Source organism: Homo sapiens, chromosome 4 (genome assembly GCF_000001405.40).
Source record: "Homo sapiens chromosome 4, GRCh38.p14 Primary Assembly".
In the NCBI taxonomy this organism is placed as follows: Eukaryota; Metazoa; Chordata; class Mammalia; order Primates; family Hominidae; genus Homo; species Homo sapiens.
In genome coordinates this window covers 20494108-20509959 of record NC_000004.12, presented here as the reverse complement: position 1 = coordinate 20509959, position 15852 = coordinate 20494108, and the positions used below count along the sequence as shown (strand labels likewise).

At 33.8% G+C, this 15852-nt stretch overlaps 1 protein-coding gene across 7 annotated transcripts in view; it reads right to left on the bottom strand.

The window, feature by feature from the left end:
* Nucleotides 1-15852, bottom strand: part of SLIT2 (slit guidance ligand 2) — a 368657-nt gene that overhangs the window by 110602 nt on the left and 242203 nt on the right. The gene's annotated exons all lie outside the window — the stretch shown is intronic.

Sequence of the window (15852 nt, the reverse complement as noted above, 5' to 3'; positions counted from 1 at the left end):
TCCATATATGCTACAGATATTTTCAGTAAGACAGTCTAGACTCTGTGGATTCATTTTGTGAATATTTCACATAAAAACCACTGCAGCAAAGTGCATTTGAGCACAACTGAAGTATTTTTATGGTATACTAAAATCACAGAGTTGAAAATAACTGATATCATCTATTCTATGGTCCTGCTAACAGAGAAAGACAAGATTTTACCCACCTAGTTATGAAACGCACAAATAAGTAGATTGCATGAAGTCTTTTGGTACATATTTTAGTCTATCAAAAAAATGTTGCTTCTCAGCCTCCTTTCACTCCAAACAAACATCGTTATGATCATTTCCCATCCCCTTCTCCTCTGTTCTGCTCTGTCTCCCAAAGAGCTGACTCCAGTGAACCATATATCCCAGGCTCATTTGCCAACAGGCTACTGTGAGATTTGCCAGTGACAGACACTGGGAGGGTGGTGAAAGGTTGGCGGGGAGAAGAAGCCAGGATATTTCTTCCCTTCTCTGTCTCAGGGGATGTCCACAGCAGTGGTCTCATCTCCTTCCTAATTTTACTTTCTGTTGGTGCCACCTCCTAATTTTATAAAATACCAGCTTCTTCTGTCCTTATAGCCCTGGGTTGGTAGCAGTTTTTTCCCTGTTACCTTCCTTCAACTGTTCAGTCTATTCTCTACATTAAATCCCTCTGTTTTTCAACAGAAAAATAGAGTTCACTTTCAATAGGAAAATAAAGCTCAACTGGCATGAGCTCCACTTTCCCGCCCGGATTTGAAAAAATATATGCATATATATTATATATATATGTATGTATACATATGTGTATATATTTAAATATGAATAAATATCATGACAACATACTGACCATATATGTGTCATATACATTAATTCATTTTTATTGAACGTTGGTAATACTTTAACGCATACACACACACACACATGCACACACACACGCGTAACATTTAATGGAAATAAAATCAAAACAAATTATCCCTAGGACATTAAATGAAATTGCCAAAATTTTGGTCTTTTCTGATTTCAAAGCCCTTCTCATGGTGCTACGGTTTTTCTTCAACAGTATCAGGGTTCATTCTCTGACCTCTTTATTTCACCATTCAATGGGTTTCCTCAGTTTTCGTTGCTCTTGAACTCACTGTAACATTTGATATTACTAACAATCTTTTTTCCCTTTGATGAGACACTCTATCTCCTTGGTGCTCACTGTACTTGGAAAAAGTAAAAATATGATTAAAAGAACTAAATCCATAATGCCCTACTCAGATCAGGGAGTTTTACTTTAGTGTTTTTTTGCTTGCATATTTATTTATGCATATTTATTTTATATAATTGAGGTATTACTGCATATAGAATTTTGAGCATATTTTATGTAATTGAGGTATTACTACAAATAGAATTGGGTGTATTGTCTTTACATCCAATAACATATCATACATGTATTGCTATATCATTTAACATTTTGTAAGACATTACTTTTAATGCCTTCATAATATTCCACTGTTGAAAAATACCCTATTTCCTTAATTCTTTCTTATTATTGGACATGTATATATTAGTGATACTTTTATACTAGTATTGATATTAACAATGCTTAGTTATTTTAAGACAGTGAAAGCATGGCCTCCTTTTAAATCCTTTCCTTATTTTCTTAGGTATAATAAGTTGTGCCTTTTCCTACATACCCAAGGACATCCTCTTAACTCCTCTGTTCTTATTCCACTATATTCTATTCGTTTTCACATATCCCTGCTAACTGGGTTTTTGGCTCCTAATAGGTGGATTTACTCCAGAAGACAGTAAATAAACTGTATGATGGAAATATGAATTTGTCTTCTGTATTATTTATCTAGGTCATAAGAAAGGGAGTTTTTTTTCAAAAGCTCTAAATAGAGTGAAGGACATGTAAATCATTTGCCTGTTACTTTATTGATTAGAATGTTTTGATTGACAGTTAAGAGTAATTCTTTTTGGCCTTTACTCATTCTTATAGTAAAATTTTAAGCTTAAAATGTAATCAATAAAAATACAGAGAATACGAGCTATAGATGAAATAATATTGATTCGCTGGAAGATTCTTCATGTCTTGGTCAATTAAGTATTATTTCAATGTATTAAAGATTTGCTCACAATAACGTAGTGCTATGATGAGAAAAAATTAATAGCTCTCAGTGACTAGTAGATTTCTTTTAATAGTAATGCAAAGCTAGTTCATATACTACTTTTCATAGATATTATTTCAGGTTCTTGAAAATAATCTAAAGAAACCAATAATCATTAATTCATTCATTCACCCTATAAATATTTAATGTCTACTCTGTACAAAATATTAAGCTGTATAACTGGAATTCAATGATAATCAAAAAACAGAGATGTTCATACATTTGTGAAAGTTTTATTGATAAATAATCTTATTTTGCAGTTAGATTTCAAAATGAATTTCTCCAATGTAAGTATTTTTAAATGCTATATTCAGCATAGAGACTTCTGAAATGTCAATAACCTTAACTCACAAATGTGACCAAACTAATTCTATAATTTAATATAACTGAAGATTTTCCCTGGAAAATTTAAAATTCATTTATTATTTTAAAGTCTCAAACTAGAATACTCGTAATGATCACTAATTTTTCTAATGACACTCAAATATATGTTATGATAATTTCTGTAATTAATCTACAACTAATTTCAATGATTGTCACCAAAAAAACCCAAATTATACAATAAATAAGGCCTTGTTTTTTGAAAATGCTGCATACTCAGAAAGTTATAAAACAAAGAAGAGTCATGATAAAATGGCATTATATTTTTATATGCAAAAACAATATTTCAGACACACTTGAGTCATGCTGCATGAATCATCTGTTATTGCAATGTACCAAGGACCTGATCTTCACATTGCAAACTATTGCATTTACATGTACCACAGAAAGCTGTACAATGACATGTACCATGGACTTGTTTACTTTTATTCATTTATCTATTTTCAATCTTGTTCCAAAAAAAGTATTTGAAACAGAGTTTATGTTGTTATTCACACTGACTCAGCAGCGAACTGGTTTTTATTGCACTGTCTCAGCAGTTCATTAAGGCAAAACGTAATTGCATCCTTCATTCAGAGGGACAGATTCTCAAGCAGGAAAATATTCTACCATGGACAGATGTCAAACAATAAATTTTAATATATTATAAAATGTCTGTTCTCTCTTATTTAGTGGAGAAACAATAAACTAATGTGTACTTATTGCAAACTTTTGGGTCTTTAGAATAAAGGGGTTTTCCTTTTCATTGTAAGAATTTTAGAATATATTTGATAAACTAAACCCAACACACATCTCAAATGATGTCCTTTGTCCTACAAAAAGAGGAAAACATATTTAAATCAGATTATAAAAAATAAAGAAGTGAAATAATAAAGTTTTCAGGTTGAGGTAAAAAGAAAGGGCAAATAAAATTTACATTTTCTAGCATTGCTGTCCTGTAATCTGTGCTTTAATAGCATAGAAGCTGCTGAATTTTATAGAGTGCAAATTTGAATCCATTGTTCCATAAAGAACCTAATTAAAAACATTCTGGGATTCCAAAAATAGATAGTATAATCGCTAAGATATATTTGCATGCCATGGATAAAATCCACCATAATTAAGAGATTTTCAAATGTCAGTCCTTCGGAGAAAATTCAATATCTTGAGTTTCAAAGTAAAAATAGATTTAGAAAGTGATTAGGGGAAGAAAGTACTGTAAATCACATACTACAAGAAAGACTTTTCCATGTAAAAGGAGCCAACACCTTTTTCTCCACATAACTTATGTAAATGATTGCATAACATTTTATCACTGTATGTGTTTGTGTGTTTACATATACACACACATGAAACCAAAGCAATGGCTGTTACTACTCTTTCAAATGTAGAAGGAAATTTTAGTTACATGCTCAGTATATGAGAAGATGAAGACAGTTTTCTAACTGCACTAATAAAAATAACTCAAAAGTATGTTTATCCAATAAAAAACTTCTTCCCATTCTGTCTCCACTTCTACAATTTTTTTCTCTTGCTCTCTAATTACTGCTACCTCATTATACATGTCTTCACGACTTTAAAGCTCTTAAAGAATGAACTACCAACAATATATAACACGTTCTGGTGTCTATTTCAAAAATTATAGAAAATAAAAAATGGTGAAATATCCCTCTGCTTTAAAACACAAGACCCTTAGAATATGTTAATTATGTGCAGCTATCTTTTAGCTCAATGAAGTCTAATTCTGCCACTTGTGGACTGATGGGCTCTGTAACACATAAAATAAACTAATGGTTTTGGTGAGCAGATCTTACATAAGTAGACTACACAACATGCAGTGTGTATGACTGGGCAATTAAAAAACTAGTTCTAAAGACATTTACAAGATATTAAACAGTATTAGCACTTTAAATGACATTTTCAGCTCTCTAGCGTTCAATTCGTAGACATTATTTTCAATGTTTTAAAATCGTGTTATTTTGACAAACTATATAAAATAACATCCACATGCCAAATCTTCAATAGCCCTCCTCAAGAGATATTTCTACATTTTATAGACATACATAGAATTTTTCAAGGTGTGTCACTTAGCAATTAAAAGTATGAGCTTTGCACTTATATAGACATGGACTAAATTCTGGATCTGCAGCTGATTAGCTCTCTGGACCTTACAAAAGCTATTTTCTTTCGCTGTGTCTCAGTTTCTCTTCCTGAAAAATGGGGAGAATAGAACTTACCATAAATGTTTTCTAAAAATTACATGAGATGTAGAAAAAAATATGGTATTTTATTTCTTATACAAAAATAGTGAAGTAATAAAAATATGTATATGCAATCAAAAATAGAATATATAGCACAATATATTAAATAATAAAAAGTCTACAGCATATATGGTAGACTCCCCTTACCCACAGGGGATGCATTCCAAGACCCCCTGAATGTCTGAAACCACAGATTGTACTGAACCCTATATACACTTTTTTTTCCTATATGCCTGTGATCAAGTTTAAAGAGATTAACAATAATAATAAAATACAACAATTATTACAATATACTATAATAAATGTTATGTGAATGTGGTCTCTCTCAAAATACATTAATATTTTCAGACTGAGGTTGACCATGGGTAACGGAAACCATGTAGAGCAAAACTGTGGAAGAGGGGGGACTATTGCAACGTCACCCACACACCCCCACACATACACTATAAAATTATATGTGTATATATAAATCTCACACATGATTTGATTTCTAGTGTGAAATAAATATATATGGTCCCAAATCATGTTTTTAAACAAATTAGCAGTACAGTTTTGCAGATAACTCCGTAACTGTATAATAAACACATACACACATACATCATTCACATTGAAGCTGAAACAACATAACTGGCTGCAATCTCTGTGATCAACAGGATTAAAATATAGCACTATCTGTAATTTGGGGACTGCCTCAGAAACACAAAAAGTTTTTATAATACCCAGTAAAATATGTCTTTGGATTGATTGTGTCTGTAACATACAGCCCAGATGCTGATTATACATGGCAATAAAACTGACACTTCTTCGCGTTTTCTCCATCTGCTTTTAACGTAAATGGCAAAAGCAGCTGCCACAGAATAGAGCATAGTCTTAATGGGGTAAGGGAAGGGGAGGCAGAATGACTAGCTTCTGAATCTTAAGTTGTCCACTGTAGCCAACACATTCTCCTCATAGGTAAGATTGGCCCATCATTTGAAAAGGAGGAAGACAATATTCCTTTTCTTTGATGTTAAGGATTATCTTGCCTATTACATATAATTGTAAAGTAAGTACTTTCTATTTTTGGAATGCTACTTCCAACTTTAGCAGTAAATCATGTCATTAAAATCTTTCATATATTTCTACATAAAATGATCCAACATATTTTAGCCTACAGCATTATTTGTTTTATAATTGCAGTTTCCAGAACTTTGCAAATTTAATAAATATCTTCAGCAGCTTAATGAATATTAGCCCTAGAGTGATACTTCTGGGCATACAGCTAGAAGTTTTGCCTTAGGATTGTGTCAATACTAATTGATTCTCATCAGTTTCTGTCTTGGGATTTCTTGTTCCTCAAAAGTACTCATTTTTAAATTTTATTTTACATTTTGTGATGTCATTCTAAAATACATTCCCGAGTGTAAATTCAATTGGTGTTTTTATAGGAGAGAAACGCCTCATTTTCCATTTGGTCTTTAAGCATTTAAGGCAAGACAAAAATATCTATGTGTGCACCTTTTGACTAAGTGTTAAAATTTTCATGCATATATTCACAAGGACACATATTCAAATACAAAGATACACTCAATAGATGCAACCAAATGGTGTAGACTCGGGGAAAAAAAATGGGCTTAGGCACATGGCCCACAGATTTCAGGGGGAGAGAATATGTCACTATCATTATGTTTTCATATATATATTTTTAAATCAACCCAAGAAAGAAAAACACTTAGAAGTTTTGTTGTTTTATTTCTCATTAATAACAAAAATTTTAGACACTTACTATGAATTAGACACTGAGCTAACTCTCCAGCTTGCTAATTATTTTAGTTTTAAAAAATTACAAAAATCATCTTTCGTATCACTTGTTTAACAGTATTATTCAATAAGCAGACAGTAGTTCTCATTATTCTCCACCCCTGCACTGAGTTATTCTCCACATTGTATAACATCTTTTTCCTAAAATTTAAATAATGCTGATCACTAGTAAAATATGAACTACATAATTTTTCACCTGTCATTCTAGCTGATTAATCATCAATCTATAACATAATTGCTAAAATGCAAATGACACTTTTACCAATTATGAGAATAAATAACATTGTGACTATGCCCCAGATGTCTTCAGTCTTATGTTAGAGGCTACATGAGTCTTATTTTACATTTGAGGGGGCCTGCATTTTTTTCCCATAGAAGTTTTAGGGGAATGAACTGCATGAGCACTAGAGCCACCTCTTGGAATAACTTCCCATCACTATCTGCTGCTAGGCCTGCCTTCATTATCCCCTATAGAGTCTGCTGCTAGTGCATTCTCAGTGGGCTCCTTTCTTTCAAACCACCCTCCATTCCATGTTAGTGATTTTTCTATCATGGAAATCTAATCATGCTACTACCTTGCTAGAAAATTTCCCTCATATTCTATCGCCATCGGGACAGTCTCTTCTTCAAGATTTGACTTCCACTTTATATTCTAACAACTGCAAATTTTAATTTTTCCAAAAACACACTACTCTATCATTTTCCTGGGACTCTGCACATGCAGCTTCTTATGTCTAAAAAAGCCCTCAAGTTCTCTACCTGCAAAACACATCCTAATTCCTGAAGATTATTTGATTCTCCAAGGCAGATCAAGGTAGCCCTCTCTCTTTGTTTTTTGTGCACACATATTTTACTATTTATCTCATGTTTAAAATTCTGTTTGTGTAAAGCTTCAATTCTCTGCACTGCAAACATTTTGAAGGTTGAGACTGTCCCCTTTCATCCATAATGCCTGATGCAGAGCAAGCACTCAGAAATCTTTGTTGAGTATGTAGAAGTACTTTTTTAAAACGCCACTTTTCTGCATGTGCTTCTTGTGTTGCAATAGTACTCACTAGATTCCTTGGACTTTTGAAGAGAAACCAGTTGGAGTTTCTGTCTGTCCTTACCATTTTAATCTCTGTGCTTATTTTAATATTTCTTTTTCTCCAATTTATTTATAATGTTATTATATTCAGTTTTACTTCTCAACTAATATTACAAAAGTTTGATTCTATCTTCTACATTTTTCTTTTGAGAAAGGCATTATATAGTTTTCTGCTTAAGTTATCACACGATTTAACAAAAACACATGTACAACATTTGTGTGTGTGTGAGTATATGTATGTATAACATGTATGTTACCTAAATAACTTCTTGGGAAATTAGGTACAAGAAAGAAATAAGTTGCAAAAAAAAAATATAAATGAAGAATTTTCTTATCATGAACACAAAGTCTTCATGAAAATGGTTTCTCTGCACATAGTGGATATATGAAGCCTTTTGAAGATAATTTTTCTACTATTCTTTCAATAGTATAATTCTTTCTCTTCAATTATTCTTTCAATGACAATTAAAGGCTGCTCAAGATACGCATATACAATTAGGAATTTTACCAAAATATAGATGAAAACACTCAAATGATTAATAGTGAACTCAATAATGGCCTGCGGAACTACATGCATGGTTTCATCTATAAATGTATTTTACATAATTCTTTTTACACTGTTTTGCTGTGGAGCTATCAAAGTTGCTATAAGGAGTACACTGAGTGTGGCTAATGATAACTAAGAATTAACATGAGAATCTGCCGGGTGTGGTGAGTCACACTTGTAATTCCAGCACTTTGAGAGGCCGAGGCAGGCAGATCACTGGAGCTCAGGAGTTCAAGACCAACCCAGGCAACAAGGTGAAACCCCACTTCTACCCAAAAGACAAAAAAGCCGGGTGTGGTGGCATGCACTTGTAGTCCCAGCTACATGGGAGGCTGAGGTGGGAGGATTGCTTGAGCCCTGGAGGCGGAGGTTGCAGTGAGCCGAGATCACGCCACTGCACTCCAGCCTAGGTGACAGAGTGAGATCTCAACCTCCTCCCCCCAAAAAAAATTAACATGAGAAGCTTCTTCTGTGGAAACACATTGTAGAACACTATTTTGTATGCTGAGTAATGAGGTGCTCTGTGTCTGTAGGAAGCCAAAATATTTTCTTTTTCTGGGATTACCTGATGAAATCATAATATGAAAACTTGGGAAAATATAATCCAAAAACACAAGAAAATAAAAATAATAATGAATGATGTTTACATAAAAAATTCACATACAATGACATTAAGACTACTAAACTCACATAAAAATAATCTAGAGAAGAATCATTGCATTTTGTTTTTCTAACCATATATATATTAGCACAGAATCAGAGATAAAATAATACTGACTTGTTTAATCATAGGATTGTTTATTTAATGACATTTCTAGGCAAGTTGTATTTGATAGAGGAAAAACTAGTACTTTCATAGTACATAGGAGATACATATGTAGTTTCTGCTATTGTGAGGATCTCAGAAGAAAATTTGAGAACGCAATTCTAATTGCCTGCATCGGCATGATAGCTTCTTATCTCAAACCAGGTTTTCACTTTAAAAACTAACAAAACTATTTTCTACACTACAAAAAAATTAAAAGAATTTTCCTAACCTTTAGGAGACGTATAGTTTCCTACATAGTGTTTCCATGGGAATTAAGTGAAATAAATAATTTAACATTTTTGAAAATTTTTTTTATCATAAAGAAGGTTTTTATTATGTATGATACAAGACACTTTTTAAGAGTACTATGTCATCTATATTTCTAACAGGCATAAAATATTGAGGGTGTTTTCATATTAGCTTGCCTGAAAAGCACAAAGTTATAAAAACATAAAATGTGAAGTGAAAGTAATGTTGTAGGCTAGCTAATTTGTGAGTGGATTTGAAGTAGCAATAATATCAGGAATGTGTAAAACTGCAAAATGCTAACAAATGCTCCATGTGTTAAGAAGTGCTCTAATAAAATTATGAACTAAAGTAGAATTGCTCAAATTTTAACTTTTATAACATTTTCTAAATTATGCCGATTTCCATTACATTTTATTATCCTTAAGTTGAATATGTTTATGTTTTAAAATATTTTCACAATGAAACAATAAAGTTCTGTCAAAGTGAAAACAATTGCACTTTGAAATTGCCAACCTACTTGTTATTTAACAAGGCAAACTCAGAATATTGACTATTTCTTTCATACCATGTTACATTTAAAAAATGGTATCATTTGCCTTACTTATTTTATCAATATTGTCTGAATAGTAGTCAAGTTCATCCATATGTGCTGTAAAAAAATTAGTCAAGTTTTGTACTGTATTTTTTAACATTTAGCATATTTAAAATAAACTACTTGCATAGCATGATAGATATTCTGCTGATTGAAATATTACTAAATACATGCTAATCAATCAAAAATTCATACTTTGATGAGTACTTATAATTATTTTAAATCAGCCAGTACATAATAGGCTCAAGGCAAGTTGGTCAAATCTAACTTGCATATCTTTACATATAAAAAGTCAGATGACTCTGGGCATGGCGTGATGTCCCTGTAATCCCAGCACTTTGGGAGGCTGAGGCAGGCAGATCACGAGGTCAGGAGATCCAGACCATCCTGGCTAACACAGTGAAACCCCATCTCTACTAAAAATACAAAGAACTAGCTGGGTATGCTGGGGGGCGCCTGTAGTCCCAGCTACTCAGGAGGCTGAGCAGGAGAATGGCGTGAACCCAGGAGGCGGACCTTGCAGTAAGCCAAGAAGGTGCCACTGCACTCCAGCCTGGATGACAGAGCGAGACTCTGTCTCAAAAACAAACAAACAAACAAAAAACAAAGTCAGATGACTTTGAAATATGTGGATTCAAAATTGAGTATTATTTAATAAATTAAGGATTCAATATTTTGAGTGGGACAAATGCAGAAATAGCAAGCAAAAAGTTTAAGCGTATATGGGAGGTAGTTATCTAAACAGAAATGAACAGAAAAAGACACTTTTAAAATTGTATTTGCAACATATACCTACAACAAAGAACTAATATCCAGAATCTACAAGGAACTCTAACAACTCAACAAGAAAAAATAAACAATCCCATTAAAATGTGTGCAAATGATATGAACAAGTATTTCTCAAAAGAAGACATGTAAGCAGCCAACAAACAAAAAAATGCTCAACATTACTAATCATCAGATAAATAATAGCAATTGTTAATAACAGCCATTCTGACTTGTGTAAGATGATGGTGTGGATGCAGAGAAAAGGGAATGCTTATACACTGTTGGTAGGAATGCAAGTTAGTTCAACATTCAACCTCTATGGAAGACAGTACAGAGATTTCTCAAAGAACAAAAAATAAAACTATTATTTGACCTATCAATCCTACTACTGGGTATCTACCCAAAGGAAAAGAAATCATTATATAAGACACTTTCACTCATATGTTTATCGTAGCAGTATTCACAATAGCAAAGCCATGGAACTAACCTAAGTGTCCATCAATGGTTGACTGAATAAAGAAAATGTGGAACATATGTGACACGGTAGAATATACAGCCATAAAAATGAATGAAATCATGTCCTCTCCAGCAACATGGATGGAGCTGGAGCCCCTGAAAAAGGCAGCAAAGAGTAAAGGCAGGAGGACATAGGAGCAAACACAACAAACCAAATTGTTATAACTTACATTCTTACTAAATATTCTCCATGATTTATGAAATTTCTGTATAATGGTTTGAAAAGGCAATATGCCACAGGAAATCTATAACTAGATTGAAGAGAACTAAATACTAACTTCATAGCAATCTATCACATCACATTCAAAATTGTATACCTCAAAAGGTGATCTAAGTAATTAATTCTTAAGATTTGATAGTCAGAATCAATTTGCTATTAATGATTGTGTTGCCATAGACCAGATCATGTACAGACTCACAGGAGGCATTGCAACTATTGAAGAATAAGGTTTTCAACTAGCATAGTTCAACGCAGCAAAGTGCTGGGATGACCCCAAGGCAGCAAACAGCTTTCCCTTTTACAGCTAGGTTTAGCTTACATTATATGTTCTACTTTTTCCCCTTCTATATTTTCTTCATTAGTCCACACTGCTTTGTCACATTTTATTTTTTATTTTATTTATTTATTTTTGAGACGGAGCCTCGCTCTGTTGCCCAGGCTGGAGTCCAGTGGCGCCATCTCGGCTGACTGCTGCCTCCGCCTCCCAGGTTCAAGCAATTCTCCTGCCTCAGCCTCCCAAGTAGCTGGGACTACAGGCACGCACTGCCACGCCTGGCTAATTTTTTGTATTTTTAGTAGAGACAGGGTTTCACCATTTTGGCCAGGATGGTGTTGATCTCTTGACCTCGTGATCTGCCCGCCTCGGCCTCTAAAAGTGCTGAGATTACAGGCGTGATCCAGCACGCCCGTTTTTTGTTTTGTTTTGTTTTGTTTTAGTATAAAGAATGGAGGCCTGCAAGCTCTCTAGATTGTGTGTCCAAGATCTCCTTCCCCTGCTCCCAACACTGTCTTCCCCACCCATGGTATGCTAAGTATTGGGGCAGAAATGGTGAGGGAAAGTCATGGTCTACCTTTACCCAGTCTGCAGTTTAATAGGAGAGTTTTTCATTTTCAAATAACAAGTTAAACTGTGGTAAGTGCTGTGTGGAGAAGATTCGGGGAAATAAGAGAACATTTAACGGAGAATAGGAAAGATGACATTGTAATAGTTACAGATATAAAGTAATATAAAACAGCTCTTAGTTTTGCAAACAATCCTGTATCTTAATGCCTTGTCTACGTTCTCTTCATAGGTAAGTTTCTTAAAATTTCTCTTGTCCTTTTTGTCGGAGTATTAGTCATTCTCTCTTCATGATTTTGAAAATTTTTCCTTTAATGACATTCCAACAAGACCAAGCTATGCCTACCTCTTTTATAGCTTGATCAAGTTAGGACCATGGGCTTGAGAGTCAAGCAAATGTATGATTGAAGCCATTTTAGCCACTTCACAATTGAAGGTTTTTACAAAATTTCTAAGTTTTTTGAGCCTGTTTTTTTTTTTCCCAAGTTTTTTTTAAACAACAAAGTTCTCAGTCTTTGAAAGATTTGAGTTAAATGTCTACAGGCTTCATTAGAGAGGGAATATGACTGTAGAGAAAGATGTCTAAGACATCTGTAAGATGATTAAATTAATATAGCTCCATAATAGGGTACCTATTAAATGCTGAGTTGGTCAGCCGAGAATAGAAAAAAAAAAAATCTCAGAAATATTTAAAGAGTGGAAATCCAAGTAAGTATGCAGAACAGGGAAATTTAATGAATTTTTAGCATTCTAGACCCATTTTGGCCCATGCTATTAAAAATTCTATGCATTTACTTTTTCTCTTGCTGATTTTATGCTTAAAAATTACCAGTTTGTCTACAGGGAGATAATAGGCTGTTCCTCTGGTTCTATTTATCAAATTTGGTTAATACAGCTTCATCTTTTCAGAGACAAATCTGTTCCAAATGTCTGATTAATTTTTAAATTATTCCATTTACCCAATAAATATTTATCAAGTGCCTACTATGTGCCAAGGTACTAGATTTTTTGCTGGGTCATCAGTAGTGATAAGAACAGAACTGGTTCCTGCCTTCATAGAACGTTTACTTCAGTAGAAGAGATAGATATTTAAAAATAAACACACAATAGTATATAATTACAAAATACGATAATTAGGGACAGTCAAAAGCAGATTCTAACCTGTAAACAAGAGGGGAGCTTCTGCACTGTGGTAACATGATCAGTATAATGAGGCCTGTTGGAGAAAACCACCAGCCTTTATCTGACCTGTGCTTCTGCATTAGTTTTACTATTTTATTTAATTTCATAAATATCCCCATCACCAGGTCAATGAGAAGATCAAATGTGCACAAGCCAACATTGCGATCCAACTGCAATCCAACATTGCAAGTATTTAATAAATGTCAGTCTCTTTCTATTATTCCTTCTCCAAATTATTCTAATTCTGACTTTAAAGGAATATTTTCCTTCTATTGCTTAACAAATAATTGAAGTTACCAAATAGCAGAAGTATGAATTTGTAGTTGGAAACAGAAAGCAGAAAAAATGAGTCATTATTTTCTACTTAGATTTATAGGCAGTTGATCACTCATATATGGCATACATATACTTTCTTTTCATTAGAATTATATCATGAGACAGTTGTAAGAATAAAGACATATCACACAGTGGAGAATCAAGTCAAAATTATTGAATGAAATATCTCATAACTTGCAATAAAGAAACTCAACCAACAATTTATGGTAAAATTCAGATATGAAAATATATTTGAATAAAATGGGGAGAGTTTATAATTTTCAGTTCATCATGGAATAAAAACCTGCCATCTATAAAGATATTTCCACATTTAATAATCTTAGTGATGTTCTTTGTTCTTATAAAAAATAAAAGAGTAATAAAAGAAATAAATTACTAAGCTAGTAAGTTATGCCACTATAATGAATGAAAATGGAATTATCTTGTTGAGTTGAGGATCAATATTATTTATTACCAGATGCTCTACTGATAAAGCTGATAATGTAATAATCAGGGAAGTAAAATTCACAAGCAGTTTCACACGTTTTCATCTCTCCTCATAAATTTAATTTATTGTAGCTTTACCTGATACACCACCTTCTCAATTTAGGCAAAGTCCACGGGACATATTATTTAGTATAACTTTAATGCAACTAAATCCCACCATTATACAAAATCTATAGCACATACAAAGTAGAAGAAAATCACGATCATAAGAAATAAAATAGACTACATAAGAAAATCATTTTAAATGTTTCATATTGCTATATGAATATGTTATGTCTCCATCTTACTCTTCTCCTTTTATCAACCTGTAACAGCTTTTTGTTCCCCTTCCCTATGATCTGGATTTGACCAATTCGCTCCTGTGTCCAGACTGATCTTGCTCCCACATGTATCTTATATAACTCTCACACTCTCGTTTCTCTCTAAACTCATTCTGACTTTCTAATGATGACAGGTTTCTGCATCTTAGAATTAACCCAAATTTGTCCATTACAGAGCAACAATTGTCTTTTTCAAAAAATCCTTTCTCAGCCAAACTATTCAAACTGCGGCTTATCTACTCTCTTGAATATTAATCAATACTTCTTTTCTTTACAGTCTGAAAGGTGGCTCATTGACCTACCACTCTATCAAAATGGAACCTTCTAAGAACAATATGCAGGTCAAATTCCAAGACCTTCTCTCAGACCCCAGCTTGGTTAACTGGCAGCAGTATTTGCCTCCGGAGATCATTTTTCCTAGAAGTCTCTTCCTCCCTTACTTATTAGAGCCCTCTGCTGTTTTTATTTAGGTTCTTGAGCTTCTCCTCTCTTACTCTCCTTTTCATTAGACAGTTGATGGTTTCAAATATTGACTGTTTTCTATTATGTTAATTACTCCAAAATTTTTGCCTCAAGTCCTTGTCTTGCTTGCTCCAAAATTATTATAGTCTGTATTATTTTAGTACTTTTTTTTTTTTTTTGAGACGGAGTCTAGCTCTGTCACCCAGGCTGGAGTGCAGTGGCGCTATCTCGGCTCACTACAAGCATTGTCCCCGGGTTCATGCCATTCTCCTGCCTCAGCCTCCCGAGTAGATGAGACTACAGGCATCCACGACCACGCCCGGCTAATTTTTGTTGTATTTTTTAGTAGAGACAGGGTTTCACTGTGTTAGCCAGGATGGTCTGGATCTCCTGACCTCATGATCTGCCTGCCTCGGCCTCCCAAAGTGCTGGGATTACAGGCGTGAGCCACTGCACCCAGCCCAATTTTTGTACTTATAAATGTGTCACTGGTCCTTTAGTATTTCACAAATTGAGTTCACTGTCATCTTCCTTTCCAGTTTTGGTCCCGCTTCTCACTTTCTTATACACAATGATGTAACCACAACCTCCGCATCACTCATACTTGAAACTCTGGCAGAGTCTGGTTTATTTTTCTCCATTACTCCTTTATCTCATCAAATGCCAAATCCCATGAATTCTGCTACTATGTTTGCTATCATAGCTGTTTCCATATCACCATTCCTACTGTCACTGACTAGCTCCTACTCTTCTGACATCTCCACTGGACCAAAGAAATAGCCTCCGAAGAGGCCTTCTGCCTTGCATTCTCTCCTTTTGTCAAATCACTGGCACACAGCCATCAGACCA